Source organism: Homo sapiens, chromosome 17 (genome assembly GCF_000001405.40).
Source record: "Homo sapiens chromosome 17, GRCh38.p14 Primary Assembly".
Lineage (NCBI taxonomy): Eukaryota > Metazoa > Chordata > Mammalia > Primates > Hominidae > Homo > Homo sapiens.
This window is the reverse complement of record NC_000017.11, coordinates 78,340,858-78,355,712: the sequence shown is the minus strand read 5'-3', so window position 1 is coordinate 78,355,712 and position 14,855 is coordinate 78,340,858. Positions and strand designations below refer to the sequence as shown.

Genomic DNA, 14,855 nt, shown 5'->3' with positions numbered 1-14,855 from the left:
GAGTGAGTCCCTCCTTAAAAGCCAAGAGGTTAGTACCCTTCCCCCCAACTCTGGGGTTTCAGCACTAGGGTTCTTCTAATAGCAAAAAACGTCTTCTCTCCTGTAATCCAGCACTTTGGGAGGTCGAGGTGGGCTAAGGGCTGGAGCCCAGAAGTTCAAGACCAGCCTGGGCAATATAGCGAGACCCTGTCTCCATTTAAAAAACAGAAACCAAAAACAAAAACAAAACCACCTTCTCTGAGGTATTCTCCTTTCATGCCTCCTTCTCTGATCCCCGTGACCTGACAGCTGGGAAATGAGTGTTAACCCCAAGTCAGGGGCCCTTATCTCTCTCAGATGACACAAATACCAGAGCCTCTTCCTGGCCCCCTTGCACCCAATATACTGCTCCAGGAATCGGGGTCCAAAAGGCAACAGAGAGTAAATAAACAAAGTCGTTTTTCTTTCCTATTTCCTGGGACTTTTGGAGAAAATGACCTGAAGTGACGAGAAGGGGCCAGGCCAGGCACGAGGCGGCTGAGGGGACAGAGCATATGGGAGCCACACCACAGGCATCATGAAGGAACTCCAGACTGGCAATGTAAACCCAGGTAGGGCCACCTTCCCAAAGCACAAGTGCAGGTGAGGGGGCCCAGTGGGGTGTGGCTCCCCAGTGCCTTCCAGAAGGATGATGAGTCTTCCTCGCCCTGGGGTCTGCTGGTCAGCCACCACTGCCTTCAGCTGCACAGAGTTCCCCTTTCACTGGAATAACAGCCATGAGGGAACCGTGAACCTGGGGTCCTTGTACTTTTTTGTTTTTTGAGACAGGGTCTCACTCTGTCACCCAGGTTGGAGTGCAGTGGCGCTATTATAGCTCACTGCAGGTTTGAACTCCCGGGTTTGGGTAAACCTCCCACGTCTGGGTAATCCTCCCACGTCAGCCTCCTGAGTAGCTGGGACTACAGGCACATTATCACCACGGCCAGTTATTTTTAATTTTTAATTTTTTTTTTGTATATTTCGTAGAGACAGGGTCTCGCCATGTTGCCCAGGCTGGTCTCGAACTCCTGAACTCAAGCAATCTGCCAGCCTCAGCCTCCCAAAGTGCTGGGATTACAGGCATGAGCCACTGTGCCCAGCCACTGGGTCCCTGTGCTTGACCCAGAAGGCAGCTGTTTAGCCAGGTTGTCCAGTGTTCACAGAATGCTAGCAAAAGAATTTGATCTTCTCTGGCCAGGGAGGAAGTAGTTCTCCCTGCCCACCCCAGGGAGGTTGAAACTTGGTTTTGTGGAGTTGCAAAGGCAAGAAGACTCATTTCCCTCCTCCAGACCACTGCCCATCCCAACCTTCCTCTGTCTTTCCACTTCTTCTTCTTCTTCTTTTTTTTTTTTTTTTTTTCAGATAGGGTCTAGCTCTGTCACCCAGGCTGGAGTGCAGTGGCAGGATCACAACTCACTGCAGCCTCAACTGCCAGAATACAAGCGATCCTCCCACCTCAGCCTCTTGAGTAGGTGGGACTACAGGCACACACCACCACACCTGGCTAAATTTTGTACTACTTGTAGAGATGGGATCTTGCTATGTTGCCCAGGCTGGTCTCTAACTCCCAAGCTCAAGCAATCCGCCCACCTCGTCCTCTTAAAGCGCTGGGATTTCATGCGTGAGCCACCGCGCCTGGTGTGTCTTTCCATTTCAGATCAGACTGGACCAACCCTTTGGGTTTGCAGACAAGGAAACCGAGACCCAGAGAAGGGAAGCAACATGCTCAAGCCCACACAACAAGCTGCTGGGAAGGCCAGGAAAGAATCTCTCCCCCAGATGACTCTGCTCAGCACCGGCTCCCTTCTCTCCTCATCCCATACCCCATAACAGAAGTCTTTCTGCACTTCTCAATCCTCAGAAGGGAAGACACCCTCCTCTAAGGGACTTAGTCGGGGGCCCTCTGGCCTGGCTGGGGGAGGAGGGGTATTCCTGGCTCCCAGATGTGCTGACAAGTGTCCTGCAGGCAGTGGGCAGCTTCTCCTGGCTTGGGCAGGCACTCGTGCCTCGGCCTGGTTAAAAACAAGGCTGAGGGTCCCCGGCCAACAGAAAGGGGAGAAATCCCCGCTCCCAGCCCTGTGCCCTATTACCTTGCTTCTAGAGCTGTAAGACTCCACCCCAAGAGGCCCTATCCTCTCTCCGGTGGTGCTGTTTTAGGGCAGGCCTCCTGAGGCTAGAGCCAAGAATGGGAAATCTAAGTCCTGCTCTGGGGGAGGGGGGGAAGGAGGCCTCAGACAGGGGAGCCAGCGATGGAAAATCAGCCTGCACGATGTGTCCTAGTCTTAGGAATGAGTAAGGATGTTTGGGAGGGGGCACCGCAAGGGTACCGGGCGGGGGTTGGGCGGAGAGGCAGTCGAGAGTCTATGGGAGTAAGGGACTCCGGTCCCAGGAGCGCGGGGCGGGATGATCGAGGCCGAGGGTGACAGGAGCCCCAGGGCTGGGAGCACCTTCTTGCGCCCCGCCCCCACTCCCCTCCAGATCTGGCGGCCGCCGGGCTGGCGGGCGGGCAGGCGCGTCGCCTCGAGGCCGCCCTCTGCCAGGAAGAGTCACTTCCCGGACACCGCGGGAGCCCTGGCGGAGCTATGCGAAGAATGTCCGCGCCGAGTACGGGGGGTGGCACCTCCCGGGCCCGCATCGCCGCGGCCGCAGCCGCCGCTGCGCCCTGCAGAGCTTGCGCCTCGGGTACGGCCCCGCCACGCCACGCCCCCGCCACGCCCCCGCCACGCCCCCGCCCGCGGAGCGCGGTCGCCGGGGCAACGGGATTACGGGCGGAGAGCGCTGTTTATTCTCAGCCCAGTGCCAGGAAATTCGGCCGGGAGGCTGCCAGGCGCACCTCCCTGGGGTGGGGGGCGGGAGAGGGAGGAGACAGGGTGGACCAGGCCGCGCTGGGCGCGTGGGGGAAGGGGGGAGTCAGGCGTTCGTCACCGGGGGTCACTGACCCCTCCCAGGGGCGGCTGCTCAGAAAGCCTGGACTCTTTCCCGGCCGTGAGTGGGTCAAGTTTTCTTGTCCCAGGGGAGCCGAGAACCCCCTTCAGGTCAGCGGAGCAAACCCACCCCCAACACACGCTCTATTCAGGGAGCCTGTTCTTGGAGCCTCAGCCCTCTCCCCTTCTAGTCACTCATTCATTCACTCGTTCATTCATTCAGCAAATCTCTGTGGAACACATCCCACGGTCAAGGACTGTTCTATATCCAGCAAGACAAGGCCCTGCTCACCCTGCCCTCCAGAGGTTAAGTGGGAGCAACCAGACAATAACGGGTAAATATGTAAATTAAATAAATATAGCCTGTGCCTTGAAGACGCATCTTCAAATCACATTCCCATTACAGCATGCATCCACCCTCAGTAGGGTGGCCAGCTTGTCCCAGTTTAGTTCTGAAAGTCTGGCAAACTAGGACAGTTGGTCTCTGTACCCTCAGGTCCGAACACACCCATTTCAGAGATGGAGAAACTGAGGCCCCAAATCCAAGGACAGCTCTTTCCTTGTCATGGAGCTAGAGAAAGAGCTGGTGGCCCTAACTTAGAATCCTGGGTTCTATGAGCTAAACGCTTTTCATTGCCTGGAGCTCCACCTCTCTGCCCCTCAAGGCCTCTGAAAGCACAGAGGACCACCTACGGCCAGTCCCCCGAGGTGTGCATGAAACTGCTGACTCCCGGACTGTGACCCAGCTCTTCTGAATCCAAAGCCTGAAGACAGCCTTGGAATCTGAATAACCGCCTCCTCAGGTGACTCTGAGACCTCTTGCAGCTGCCTTCAGGGCAGACAAGCCTGGATGCTCCTTTTGTCGTGAGACAGCGCATTTCCTCTTTGTACCTTGACTAAGCCAAAGCTGGGAAATCAGCAGGGAGGGAAGGTTCCGAGCTCGCGGGCCTGTAGGCGGCAAGCATGGACAAGTGCAGCCCTTCCCTCTCCCTGAGCTGGAGGACGGCAGGGCCAAGGGAAGAGGAGGAGGAGGATGCTCCTTCCCCCCGGCACTGAGCCCTCCCAGCTGTGCTGTGCTGGGAACAGGCCAGGCGTTTGTGAAATCCTCGGGTGAGCCTGACCCACTGTCATGAGGACTTGCCTGTGGAAGCTGGTGCCGGGAGGGGGATGGGGGGCTGTTCCCAGAAGCGGGTAGAACTCTGGACTTCCCACTCCTGAGCGCTCTGATTGCAGCACAGCCTTAAGCAACAGTAGCGGCCTGGAAGGCTGGGCTGCAGGCTGGAAGGCTGGGATGCAGCCTGGAAGGAAGGCTGCGCTGCAGGCTGGAACACTGGGTTGTAGGCTTCAGGCTTTTTTTCAGAAAAGAAATTAGGGTTCTGAATGCTAAGACGTTGGGCTCTTCCAGTTAACACCATCACTGCCGGTATTCACAGCACTATTCAGGCCCAGCCTCAGGAAGAGACTGCAAACCCAGATATAAAAAATAAAAATAAATAAAAAACAGCCAGGCGTGAGCCACCGCGCCCGGCTCAAAAAAAAAAATTTAAAAAAAAATAACAAAAAAAATAAAAAACAGAATGCAAGCTCATTATTTACATTACACAAGACGATATATTTCCTCTCTTTCACCTCCCCTCCCCCAAATCTCCAATCATAGTATTTTCCTACAGAAAATGTTATTTAGCGCCTGTAATGTACAGAATGTTGAAGGTACAGACATGAAAAATTAAATCCGGCTGGGCATGGTGGCTCACGCCTGTAATCCCAGCACTTTGGGAGGCCGAGGTGGACGGATCACTCGAGGTCAGGAGTTTGAGACCAGCCTGGCCAACATGGCAAAACCCCATCTCTACAAAAAATACAAAAATTAGCCGGGTGTGGTGGCGGCGCCTGTAATCCCAGCTACTCGGGAGGCTGAGGCAGGAGAATCGCTTGAACCCAGAAGGCAGAAGTTGCAGAGAGCCCAGATGGTGCCACTGCACTCCAGCCTGAGTCACAGAGTGACACACCAAGAAAGAAAGAGAGAGAGAAAGGAAGGAAGGAAGGAAGGAAGAAGGGAGGAAGAGAAGGGAAGGAAGGAGAAAGAGAGAGAAAGAAAATAAAGTGAAAAAAAAAAAACTGAATCCATGAGGACCTGGGTCCTCCAGGAGGTGTCTGTGCTGCACAACTCCAGGGGGTGCTGTTTATATCATGATATGCTCTTTGTAGATGTTGTCCTATGAGGCCATGTGAGAGAGGTGGAGCTGCAGTGTTCCTAAACTTTAGGGTGTATCAGCAGCACCTGATGTTTGCCTGACCCAGGTGTCACCTGGGACCCAGGTGCCCCAGGTGATACCAACATAGGTGGAAACACGGCTCTGGCCACCATGCCTGTTGCTGGACAAAAATAACAATCAGGAAATATTCCAGGCTTCAAGAGACTCACAGTCTGAAAGGGGAACCAGATGTGAAAACCAAGAAGTATCCTAAAAAGGAATGGGTGTAAAAATAAAGTGGTAGACAGGGTACAGCTGGGGGTGCCCAGGAGGAAATGACCTCTAGTGGCTTCCCAGAAGAGGTGATGCGTAAGTTAAGGTGAAACAGCAGGTGTTCCTTCCACAGGCTTGGGAGAATGGGGCATTCTCAGAAACAGGGAAATAGCCCGGAAAAGGGAAACTTTGGGGAACTTCAAGAAGTTTGGTATGTCCCCATGGGCCCATCCATGCCAGACTCATCTTCTAAAAATATTGCTTTCATGATGTCATGCACACAGGCAGCCCATCCCTGTAGGATCTATACTGGTTCCCCCTGGCATTTTCCACTAAGCTGGGTTTCCAAAACCCTTCAACTGTAGCCCCAGTGGGAAGTTTACTCTGCCCCCACTCCACCCCACGCTAGGAGGCAAACTTCTTCCCATCAGGGTGGTCTTCTTCCCTGCCCACCATATTCATCACTTCCCTGCTCACTTGGGATTAGGAGCCCATGTTGGGGTTAGCCCTTCTTCCCAGCCAGCCCCTCCAATTCTCTCTTCTAGTTCTCCCTCTCTGCTGAGGATTTCTCCCTTCCTGCCTCCTCCCTGAAGCCTCCCACACCCTGGAGACCTCTCCTCCCTCCAAATGCATATTATATGTACAGCCTGCACCACTCATTCATCACCCGGTCACATGACTGTCCCCGTCCAAACTGGACTGTGAACTCTCAGATGGAAGAAATTCGCTCTTATTCATCCAATGATTATTAATATATATATATATTTTGAGACAGAGTCTCACTGTGTCGCCCAGGCTGGAGTGCAGTGGCATGATCTTGGCTCACTGCAACTTCTGCCTCCCAGGCTCAAGCAATTCACCTGCCTCAGCCTCCCGAGTAGCTGGGACTACCGCCATGTGCCACCAGGCCCGGCTAATTTTTGTACTTTTAGTAGAGATGGGGTTTGACCATGGTGGCCAGGCCGGTCTTGAACTCTTGGCCTCAGGTGATCCACCCACCTCAGCCTCCCAAAGTGCTGGGAACACAGGTCTGAGCCACCGTGCCCTGCCCAATGATTATTAATTGAATGCCAACTCCGTACCAGGCCCTATATCTTCTGCTTTTTTATGTTCCTCACAAAATCTAGCAGAATGGGTGATGCTTGCTGGAAACTCATCAAACACTGGCTCTGTGGCTGTACAAAAGACAAAATGTTCTTTAAATAATGGGGTTCCTGGATCATTAAAATATCACTTAATTCATAACTTTTTTTTTTTTTTTTTTTTGAGACGGATGGTCTCGCTCTGTCACCAGGCTGGAGTGCAGGAGTGCAATGGCGCAATCTCGGCTCACTGCAACCTCCGCCTCCCGGGTTCAAGTGATTCTCCTGCCTCAGCCTCCTGAGTAGCTGGGACTACAGGCGTGTGCCACCGTGCTCAGCTAATTTTTTTGGTATTTTTAGTAGAGATGGGGTTTCCCCATGTCGGCCAGGTTGGTCTCGATCTCTCGACCTTGTGATCCACCCGCCTTGACCTCCCAAAGTGCTGGGATTACAGGTGTGAGCCACAGCGCCCGGCATCATTCACAACTTTTACTTCCAGAAGCAAACAGGCATCTTTTATTTTTAGTACCATGTGTTTGCATAAATAGCACTTTTGTTTTTTCAAAATGCATTTTAATAGGTGATCTCATTCCGTCCTTCCTCCATGCCTCAGATGTAAGGCAGGTAAAATAAAATATACCACACTTTCCAGATGAGTAAACTAAGCTGTAGAGGAGTTTAGGCTTGCCTCAGATCACAGATAAGCAGTGAGAGAAGCAGAAACGGACCACCTCTCAGCTGATGTCAAATCCAGTGCCCTCTCCACTGTTACTTGCTTAAGTACTGCCCCTCCTACGTGTGAGAACCCTCCCCAGTGCCAGGACCTCTGCTTGGCAGCTACTGTGAAGGCTCCCCCAGGGATCTAAATGACAGCTAGGTCCACTCTTGGCTCTCATCAGAGTCCAGGTCAGCCTGGGGAACAGTCCTGGGCTGCCATTCCGTCCACCCAGACCCTGGGGGGTTGCAGGGAACACCAGAGTCCTCCCAGCTCCTAGCAGGTGGGGAGCCCCAGGTGTTCAGGGCTAGTGCTCCCAATGGATATACAATTCCCAAGGCAACCCCAGCAAGATCTCTGGCCAGCCCAATGTCCAAGGTTTGGCCCGAAGCCTCAGAGAACGCCAGATCCCTCTAACCCATCCGTTCTGGAAACTTGGTGAAGGTGGAGGAGATGACCTCTCTGTTTCCTCCTGTTGTAGAATTCTATGAAAAGGAGGCCGGAGGGACAGGAGCTGGCACCAGGAGGAAGGCAGGCTGATTTTCAAGAGTGGTCCTCTAGCTATTCACTGCCTTTTTTAGTGTCCCTTGGCCACCTGGTGAAAGTAGGCAAGAGGATGTGGTAGAAAGGCTACCCAGAAGAACTCAGAGACCGCCGGCACTGCACAATGCTGGGGGAGGGACAGTGAGGGCTATGGAGCCCTCACTTTGGGGCTTCCCCACCAGACCCCTCAGGCCATCACAGGGCTGGCGCTTGGCTGAGAACTCAGTAAGGACCCTGACCAGGCTCCAGCCAGAGTCCTGGAGTGGAGGGGAGGAGCCCAGGAGAGCAGCCCAGACCCTCCCTCGGGCACCCTTCCAGGCCTCTCCAGTCTAAGAGAAGGAGCTGAGAAGGTCAGCAAACTGGCCCAGCTGCAGCAAGAGACCTTGTGCCCACACCAGGATGGAAACAGAGCTGGTCAGACCTGAGTGGGGGAGGAGAGAGGCCTTCACCTGGGGCCCTGGGGCCCTGGGACCATCAGGCCAGGCTCTGTGGCTGGAAGGAGAGATGCCTGGAGAGGAGTCAATTAAAAGAGCCACCTCTGTAATCCCAGCACTTTGGGAGGCCAAGGTGGGGGGGATCACCTGAGGTCAGGAGTTCAAGACCAGCCTGGCCAACATGGTGAAACCCCATCTCTACTAAAAATACAAAAAAAATTAACTGTTTGTGGTGGTGCATGCCTATAGTCCCAGCTACTTGGGAGACTGAGGCAGGAGAATCGCTTGAAGCTGGGTCGCAGAGGTTGCAATGAGCCGAGATCACTCCACTGCACTCCAGCGTGGTGACAGAGCAAGACTCTAGAAAGAGAGAGAGAAAGAAAGAAAGAGAGAGAGAAAGAAAGAAGAAAAAGAAAGAAAGGAAGGAAGAAGGAAAGGAAGGAAAGAAAAGAAAGAAGAAAGGGAAGGAAGGAAGGAAGAAAGGAAGGAAAGAAAGGAAAGAGAAAGGAAAGAAAGGAAAGAAAGGAAAGGAAGAGAAAGGAAGAGAAAGAAGGAAAGAAAGAAAGGAAAGGAAAGAAAGAGCCAGAGGCCAGGTAGAGGCTGCAGCACCCTCCGCAGGACGCGGCCAGAGATGACTGGAGGACCTCCCAGATGCACAGGGTGTATACACGTTGCTGCATGCACACACCACTCTGCGCATTCTGAGTGCCATGCGTAAAGGTGACGGTTAACACTATCCTGGGGATGTGCACCGGGCACCATCCTTCTGTGGAGCGATGAGTGATAGTGAATCACCCCAGACCAGGTTCCCACTGTGAGCAAAACAGCCAAGCAGGAGACCAACCAAGTAGGATTCAGGGTTCCAAGCTTTCCTCCAGTAGGACAAAGCTGGCCCAGATCAGGATCAAACAGTAATCTTGGCCCTAGAGGCAGGATTCTAGCAACTGAGTCAGCCTGCCCAGAATGTGGGTGCAACTCTGCTTTCTGCTCTCAGGTGTCCCCCTTGCTGGTCTTGAGGGTTCTATGGGAAATAGAAGAGAACTGCATGAGAATGCTATTGGCCTTGATATCTCCATGTCTGTGGAGTAAGAATAAGACAGGTCACCATCCTGAAGCCCTCTCCTTGGCCCCAGCTATGAAAGAAAGAGTTCTCTCGCCCAGCGGGTTTTATTTATTTCACAACACTTTTATGGCTGTGCTTCCAGTGTGCCAAGCACTATTCTAAGCACCTGAAACGTACTGACCCATGGAGGTCTCCAGCAACTCCATGAGTTACGTACTATTCTTGTCCCTATTTTCTCAGTGGGTGAAACTGCAAAACAGGGATGTAATGTAACTTGCCCAAGGTCACACAGCTCACCAGGAGTAGAGCTGGGATCCAAACCTAGGCAGCAGGGCTCCAACGCCCCTGCCTGTGGCCAGGGCCCTCGCTGTGCCTCTTGGCCCAGCCCCACCAAGGCACTGGACATGGGCACTGGAGCCCTGGATCAGGAGAGGACAAGTGGTAAGGGCAGGGTGTGGGAAAGCTGGGCTCCAGTTCCAGATCACTGCTGCTGCCTATGACCCTGGGCAGGCACCCAACCGCCCTGCCTTGTTCCTAATCTATACACGGGGATTTCAATAAAACCTGCTTTAGGCACTGTGGTGAGGATGAGACGAGACCATATCTTGAGTTTGTTATTATTAACAGGGTCTCCCTGGGACCCAGCAAGATTCAGACCCTTCTCATTCATCCGACATCCAAGCTCACCCGCTCTTGTGGGGGGGAATAGGTAGCCGCTTCTTCCAAGGCTCAGCCACTAGGTCTCCGGCTTCCTGTCCGGGTGCGAGGAGGAAGTTGAGGAAGCATTCCTTCCTGTCCCTCCTTGGTCTCTTCCAAGTCTTTTCTTTACGTGCCTCATGCATTTCCCTCTTGTTTTTCCCAGCTGCCCTGTGTTTGACATTTGGTGATTGTATTCCTTTCCTGGGACAGCCGTAACAAAACGCCACAAACTCAGCAGCTTCAAACAACCAAAATGGATTCTCTCACAGCTCTGGAGGCCAGAAGGCCAACACTCAAGGTGTACTGGGACCGTGCTCCCTCTGAAGCCCCCAGGGAAGAATGACTTCCTTGCCCCTGCCAGCTCCTGGTGGTGGCCGGCGGTCCTGCTCGCTCCTTGGCTTGTAGACACATCTCTCCCATCTCTGCCTCCACCACCGCGTGGCCTTCTCTGTGTGTCTGTGTCCAGATTTCCCTCATATAAGGGCATCAGTCATTGGACTGGGGCCATCCTCATACAACATGCTGTTAGCCTTGATCTCCCCAGGCCTGTGGAGTACATCTTAATTACATCTGCAAAGACCCTCTTTCCAAACAAAGTCACATTTGTAGGTTCCATGCAGACATGAATTTGGTGGGGGGGGACGCCATTCGACCCAGTACAGTGGTCCTGTAGGATCTCACATTGAGAACGTTCTTTCTTTCCTTTCGTCTTCCAAGAAAAGCCTAAGAGAGGTCCACTTCCTTGCTGTTGGGTAGAGGGACAAGTGAAATGCCACTTTATGCTCTGCTAAAGACGCCCTGAGCACTGAAGACAGGCTGGAAAGACGCCCAGGGATGGAGCCCAGCAGATGGCCTGGCCACCAGCAGGGCTCAGACGCAGGCTGTGTAGCCAGGGGCGTTCCTCCCCTCTGAGCTACCTGGCGTGGCCTGGCGTGCCCCAGACATTGCCTCACTTAGCTGCGGGATGCTTCCTGCGTTTCTCTGGTGAAGAGCTTCAGTCTTTACAACCTCAGATGACCCCTCACACAAGAAACATCATGCTCTAGAAAGCTTATTTTGAGCTTCCACAGGCAAGGGGGGTGGGAGGTGGAACCGTGGAGCTGGATGTGGGAAGTAGGGACAGTGCCACAGTTCCTTGGCAGCGTCACCTAGGGGAAAGTTGAGGTGATGCCCAAGAGCCAGCCAGCTCTTTCCAAAGCCCTGGAGTATCTGATGGGGAGGTGGAGACCCCATCTCTCAGAAGCTCCTTTCTTTTTTTTTTTTTTTTTTGAAATGGAGTCTCACTCTGTCGCCCAGGCTGGAGTGCAATGGCACGATCTTGGCTCACTGCAACCTCCGCCTCCCGGGTTCAAGCGATTCTCCTGCCTCAGCCTCCCGAGTAGCTGGGATTACAGGTGCCTGCCACCATGCCCGGCTAATTTTGTATTTTTAGTAGAGATGGGGTTTCTCCATGTTGGTCAGGCTGGTCTTGAACTCCCACCCTCAGGTGGTTCGCTCGCCTCAGCCTCCCAAAGTGCTGGGATTACAGGCATGAGCCACCACGCCCAGATAGAAGCTCCTTGCAAATCCATCCACCTGGTTGGAGAGCTGGGCCTTTCATCTGCACTCTTAGTCACTGCACCCTCATCATCGTCAGGCAGCGTGATACAGAAAGCCCTGTCTGGTCTTCAGTAGCTGAAGGGAAGGTTCTCAGCTACTCTCCAAGCCCTCGCCAATCAGGGTCTGCAGTCCCAGCTCTGGGCAGCAGGTAAACGTCTTTCCCGGAGCAGCTCTCTGGGGCACCCAGGTCGGACTTGCAGAGCCTGAGAAAGGAGAGAGGGAGGATGCCAAGAAGGCATGGGGTTATGCCCTTACCTGAACCACAGGAAGGGGACCGCCCTGCCCCAGCATACCGGCAGCTGCTCTTCCAGGGACAGGAAGTCAGCTGAGTACCGAGCAAGCCGCATGCCCATGTGGCTGGGGGGTGGGGGCACCTGGGCAGTCAGCTGGGCCATCCACCACTCTTCCGGGCCACACTGGTTCCCACGCTCATAGGCCAGATGGAGTGGGGATCGGGAGCCAGCGGGGAAACCCAGTTTGCATCCCAGGACTCTAAATCCGCTCCCCATCTGTACAATGGGGATAACAACAGTTCCCGTTTTCTTGGGTGGTTGTGACAGTTCAGTGAGCAAACGCCCATATGGCGTAGTACATGGTGAGTGCTCAGTCAACACTGGCGGCTCTGATGCCCTCCAAAAGGGGCTGAGCCCCTGGACAGCCTTTTTTTTTTCTTGTAAATAACCTGGCATTTAGGTAGTGGCCCAACCTGCTTAGGGAAGAGGAGCCACCTTCCAGGCAGCCTCATCTGGTCTACTAGCTGTCTCAGGAAATCAGTGACAGCACAGCCCCTCCGCCCCCCAGTACACACACACTGGGCCCTGGCAACGGGAGGCAAGTTCTCTCTGAGTCCTCCCTACACCAGGGGCCTCTCTGGCCGGGCAGCCCAACCACAGGACAATCAGGCTTTGGGCCAGGAAGTTACAGTAAGTCAGGCCCGCCCTTCCCCACATGGGGTACCGCTGCTTCCCTGGTCCCAAGCCTCGGCTCCCCTAGAGGAAGAGAAGGGGGATCAAGACCCCTTCTCAACCCTCCCCCACCCCACTGTGCTCTGAATCCCACCCCAAGGACATGCTGGTCTTTCCAGAGATTTTCAGAGGCTGCCTCTTGCTGGCAACTTAGCAGCCCCAGCTGCACAGGGCAGCTGAAGCCGCAACTGAATTTGGGAGGAGAGGCTGACTCACCCCAGCCAGGCTGGGCCTCCGCTAATATTCTTGGGTCGCAGCCTGGGATTCCTGCAGGTTCCGACAATAGGCTGGACCATCCTCTTGTAGGAGGCGGGGTTCAAAGTAACCCCAAGCGCGGGGAGGGGAGCTCTGGCAGGGGCGTCCATGTGTCCAGGACTCTAGGCCTGGGGGTTGGGGGTGACATCGGCACGCCCCCCTCCCCAGGCCTGATGCAGGAGGAAGGAGGTGTGGGACAGGGAAAGAGGACCGCGTTTGGAGTGCACACGGCACATTACATAATTATTCTATTTTAATATAACAAGCCTGGATGGTAGCTATGACTAATCTCTAGTTAATAGGTGAGGAAACCGAGGCCGGGAGAGGTTAAGGAGTTAGGGGTGGGTGGAGGGCCGGTGAGGGGTGGCGGCTGTGACGGGCAGAGCGTGAGGCCAGGCCCCTTGGAAACTCCCCCTCAGCCTCCGTGTCCACCTAAGCTACCAGTGCGGGGCCTGCGGCTGCGGCCCGTGGGCTGTGCAGGCTCAGAGCCCCGGGACCCGCAGGCCCCAGGCCTGCATGTGTGAGCGCAGGAGGCGGGGAGGCAGACACCGCATTTCCACAGGACCCTGCGGGATCAGGGCGCAGACCGGGCGGCGGGGTCCCTCGGGGCCTCCCCTGGCCCCAGCACCTCCCGCCCGCCGCCGCGGGGTTCTTCCAGTCCATGCCAACCTGGCTCGAGCAGGACAAGGTGATCGAGGCTCAGCGGCCCCTGGTCCCCCAGCCCCACGCCCGGCCCGTGGCCATGGCAACCGCTGCGCTGTGGCTCCCTCGCCGGGCAACGGAGAGAGGGGAAGGGAACGCGCCCGGCCGCGCCGCCGGCTGCGAATTCCTCAGGCCTTCCATCAGCCCCGCCGGCCCCGACGGGCTTCCTCGCGGGCTGTGAGGTCAGCGCCCGGCTCCACCCGCCTCGGGCTGGCCCCGCGCCCGGGATCCCGGTCCCGGCCCCGCGCCCCGCCCCCACCCCGCCCGCGGACCCGCCCACCCGGGTCCTCGCGTCCCAGGGCCGGGCCCGCACCCCGCAGCCCCTCCCGGTCCACGCGCGGGCCCCGGCTCCCCGGCGAGTCCTGCAGCTGGGGCGGCCCCTGGCGCCCGCCACCCGGCCGAGCCCTATTTCGGGCGCTGGCGCTGCGGGCCGGGGCAGCCCTGCCCGGAAGGGAGGCTATTCTGGGCCGGGCCGCCCGAGCAGCTGCGGCCCCGGGCTTCCCGGCAGGGTGTGCGGCGCGGGACCGAGGGCACACCAGGGCAGGGCTCCCCTCCCTCCCCAGCGCCGCACCTTCCTCCCAGGCCGCGCCTAGCTCTCTCGCCTTTTTGGCCAGACCCAGGTCCTTCCTTAGGCCAGGAACATTCCCTAGTGCCAGGTCGCTGAGAATGTCCAGAGGCTAAGGCCATCCGGTGCCCTACCCCAGTGCCCTCCGGGCAGGTGCCTTGCCCTGAGCCTGTCCGCCCTGGGCCCCACTTCCTTCTTTTTCTTGATTTATTTTATTTTATTTTATTTATTATTTTTTTTTTAGACAGGGCCTCGCTCTGTTGCCCAGGCTGGAGTGCAGTGGCACTATCTCAGCTCACTGCAACCTCTACCTCCCCGGTTCAGGCGATTCTCCTGCCTCAGCTTCCCGGGTAGCTGGGACTACAGGCACGCGCCACCATACCTGGCTAGTTTTTGTATTTTTAGTAGAGATGGGGTTTCACCATGTTGACCAGGGTAGGGTGGTTTCGAACTCCTGACCTCAAGTGATCGGCCTGCCTCGGCCTCCCAAAGTGCTGGGATTACAGGCATGAGCCACCGCGCCCGGCCCCCACTTCCTTTCTAGGGTGGTCTTCCCAACACCCTGTGCTGACCTGGGTTCAGCCCTTGTCCCCATGTGCTACTTCTCTGCCCATCCTAACTCTAACGACCTTCCTGCCATGGGTCCATTTGGTCTGTGTTGAATCCGCAGTGCCCAGCACAGGATGGCTGCTTCCAAAATGGGTGTGTCATGAAAGCTGTTAAACCATCACATTCAGTATCACATTGCGGACACCAGCCCCTAAGGGGCTTTTTACATACAACCAGCAAACCCATATGAGGACTAGAGGTCCAGCTGCCCTCT

At 55.5% G+C, this 14,855-nt stretch overlaps 2 long non-coding RNA genes across 3 annotated transcripts in view, besides 10 other annotated features; one reads left to right on the top strand and one right to left on the bottom strand.

Moving 5' to 3' along the window:
• Positions 259 to 308: an enhancer, noted in NCBI's record as "active region_12891". NCBI's record gives its function as "activates an Ori minimal core promoter by ATAC-STARR-seq in GM12878 lymphoblastoid cells {active_cell/tissue: GM12878}" and the evidence as "EXISTENCE:reporter gene assay evidence [ECO:0000049][PMID:35858748]".
• Positions 632 to 1,133: an enhancer, noted in NCBI's record as "H3K4me1 hESC enhancer chr17:76350661-76351162 (GRCh37/hg19 assembly coordinates)". NCBI's record gives its function as "activates a minimal SCP1, AML or CMV promoter by ChIP-STARR-seq in naive H9 embryonic stem cells {active_cell/tissue: H9 hESC(naive)}" and the evidence as "EXISTENCE:reporter gene assay evidence [ECO:0000049][PMID:30033119]".
• Positions 2,153 to 2,969: an enhancer, noted in NCBI's record as "H3K27ac-H3K4me1 hESC enhancer chr17:76348825-76349641 (GRCh37/hg19 assembly coordinates)". NCBI's record gives its function as "activates a minimal SCP1, AML or CMV promoter by ChIP-STARR-seq in naive H9 embryonic stem cells {active_cell/tissue: H9 hESC(naive)}" and the evidence as "EXISTENCE:reporter gene assay evidence [ECO:0000049][PMID:30033119]".
• Positions 2,425 to 2,744: a silencer, noted in NCBI's record as "silent region_9062". NCBI's record gives its function as "represses an Ori minimal core promoter by ATAC-STARR-seq in GM12878 lymphoblastoid cells {active_cell/tissue: GM12878}" and the evidence as "EXISTENCE:reporter gene assay evidence [ECO:0000049][PMID:35858748]".
• LOC124904064 (uncharacterized) lies at positions 2,931 to 4,445 on the top strand. The gene is made up of 2 exons (XR_007065920.1): positions 2,931 to 3,277; positions 3,608 to 4,445. It is a non-coding gene; the product is annotated as an uncharacterized LOC124904064 (long non-coding RNA).
• Positions 2,970 to 3,785: an enhancer, noted in NCBI's record as "H3K27ac-H3K4me1 hESC enhancer chr17:76348009-76348824 (GRCh37/hg19 assembly coordinates)". NCBI's record gives its function as "activates a minimal SCP1, AML or CMV promoter by ChIP-STARR-seq in naive H9 embryonic stem cells {active_cell/tissue: H9 hESC(naive)}" and the evidence as "EXISTENCE:reporter gene assay evidence [ECO:0000049][PMID:30033119]".
• Positions 7,240 to 7,299: a silencer, noted in NCBI's record as "silent region_9061". NCBI's record gives its function as "represses an Ori minimal core promoter by ATAC-STARR-seq in GM12878 lymphoblastoid cells {active_cell/tissue: GM12878}" and the evidence as "EXISTENCE:reporter gene assay evidence [ECO:0000049][PMID:35858748]".
• Positions 9,336 to 14,855, bottom strand: part of LOC105371912 (uncharacterized) — a 30,662-nt gene continuing 25,142 nt past the window's right edge. Inside the window, exons 1-2 of one of the 2 annotated variants that reach the window (NR_188633.1) lie at positions 12,727 to 13,646; positions 9,336 to 11,748 (exon numbers count right to left, since the gene is read on the bottom strand). This is a non-coding gene — a long non-coding RNA (uncharacterized LOC105371912). Of the gene's footprint in view, positions 11,749 to 12,726; positions 13,647 to 14,855 lie in introns of those variants that run through there. The other variant, NR_188632.1, reaches the window with a different exon arrangement.
• Positions 10,395 to 10,899: an enhancer, noted in NCBI's record as "H3K4me1 hESC enhancer chr17:76340895-76341399 (GRCh37/hg19 assembly coordinates)". NCBI's record gives its function as "activates a minimal SCP1, AML or CMV promoter by ChIP-STARR-seq in naive H9 embryonic stem cells {active_cell/tissue: H9 hESC(naive)}" and the evidence as "EXISTENCE:reporter gene assay evidence [ECO:0000049][PMID:30033119]".
• Positions 12,926 to 13,431: an enhancer, noted in NCBI's record as "H3K27ac-H3K4me1 hESC enhancer chr17:76338363-76338868 (GRCh37/hg19 assembly coordinates)". NCBI's record gives its function as "activates a minimal SCP1, AML or CMV promoter by ChIP-STARR-seq in primed H9 embryonic stem cells {active_cell/tissue: H9 hESC(primed)}" and the evidence as "EXISTENCE:reporter gene assay evidence [ECO:0000049][PMID:30033119]".
• Positions 13,478 to 13,587: a silencer, noted in NCBI's record as "silent region_9060". NCBI's record gives its function as "represses an Ori minimal core promoter by ATAC-STARR-seq in GM12878 lymphoblastoid cells {active_cell/tissue: GM12878}" and the evidence as "EXISTENCE:reporter gene assay evidence [ECO:0000049][PMID:35858748]".
• Positions 13,798 to 14,057: a silencer, noted in NCBI's record as "silent region_9059". NCBI's record gives its function as "represses an Ori minimal core promoter by ATAC-STARR-seq in GM12878 lymphoblastoid cells {active_cell/tissue: GM12878}" and the evidence as "EXISTENCE:reporter gene assay evidence [ECO:0000049][PMID:35858748]".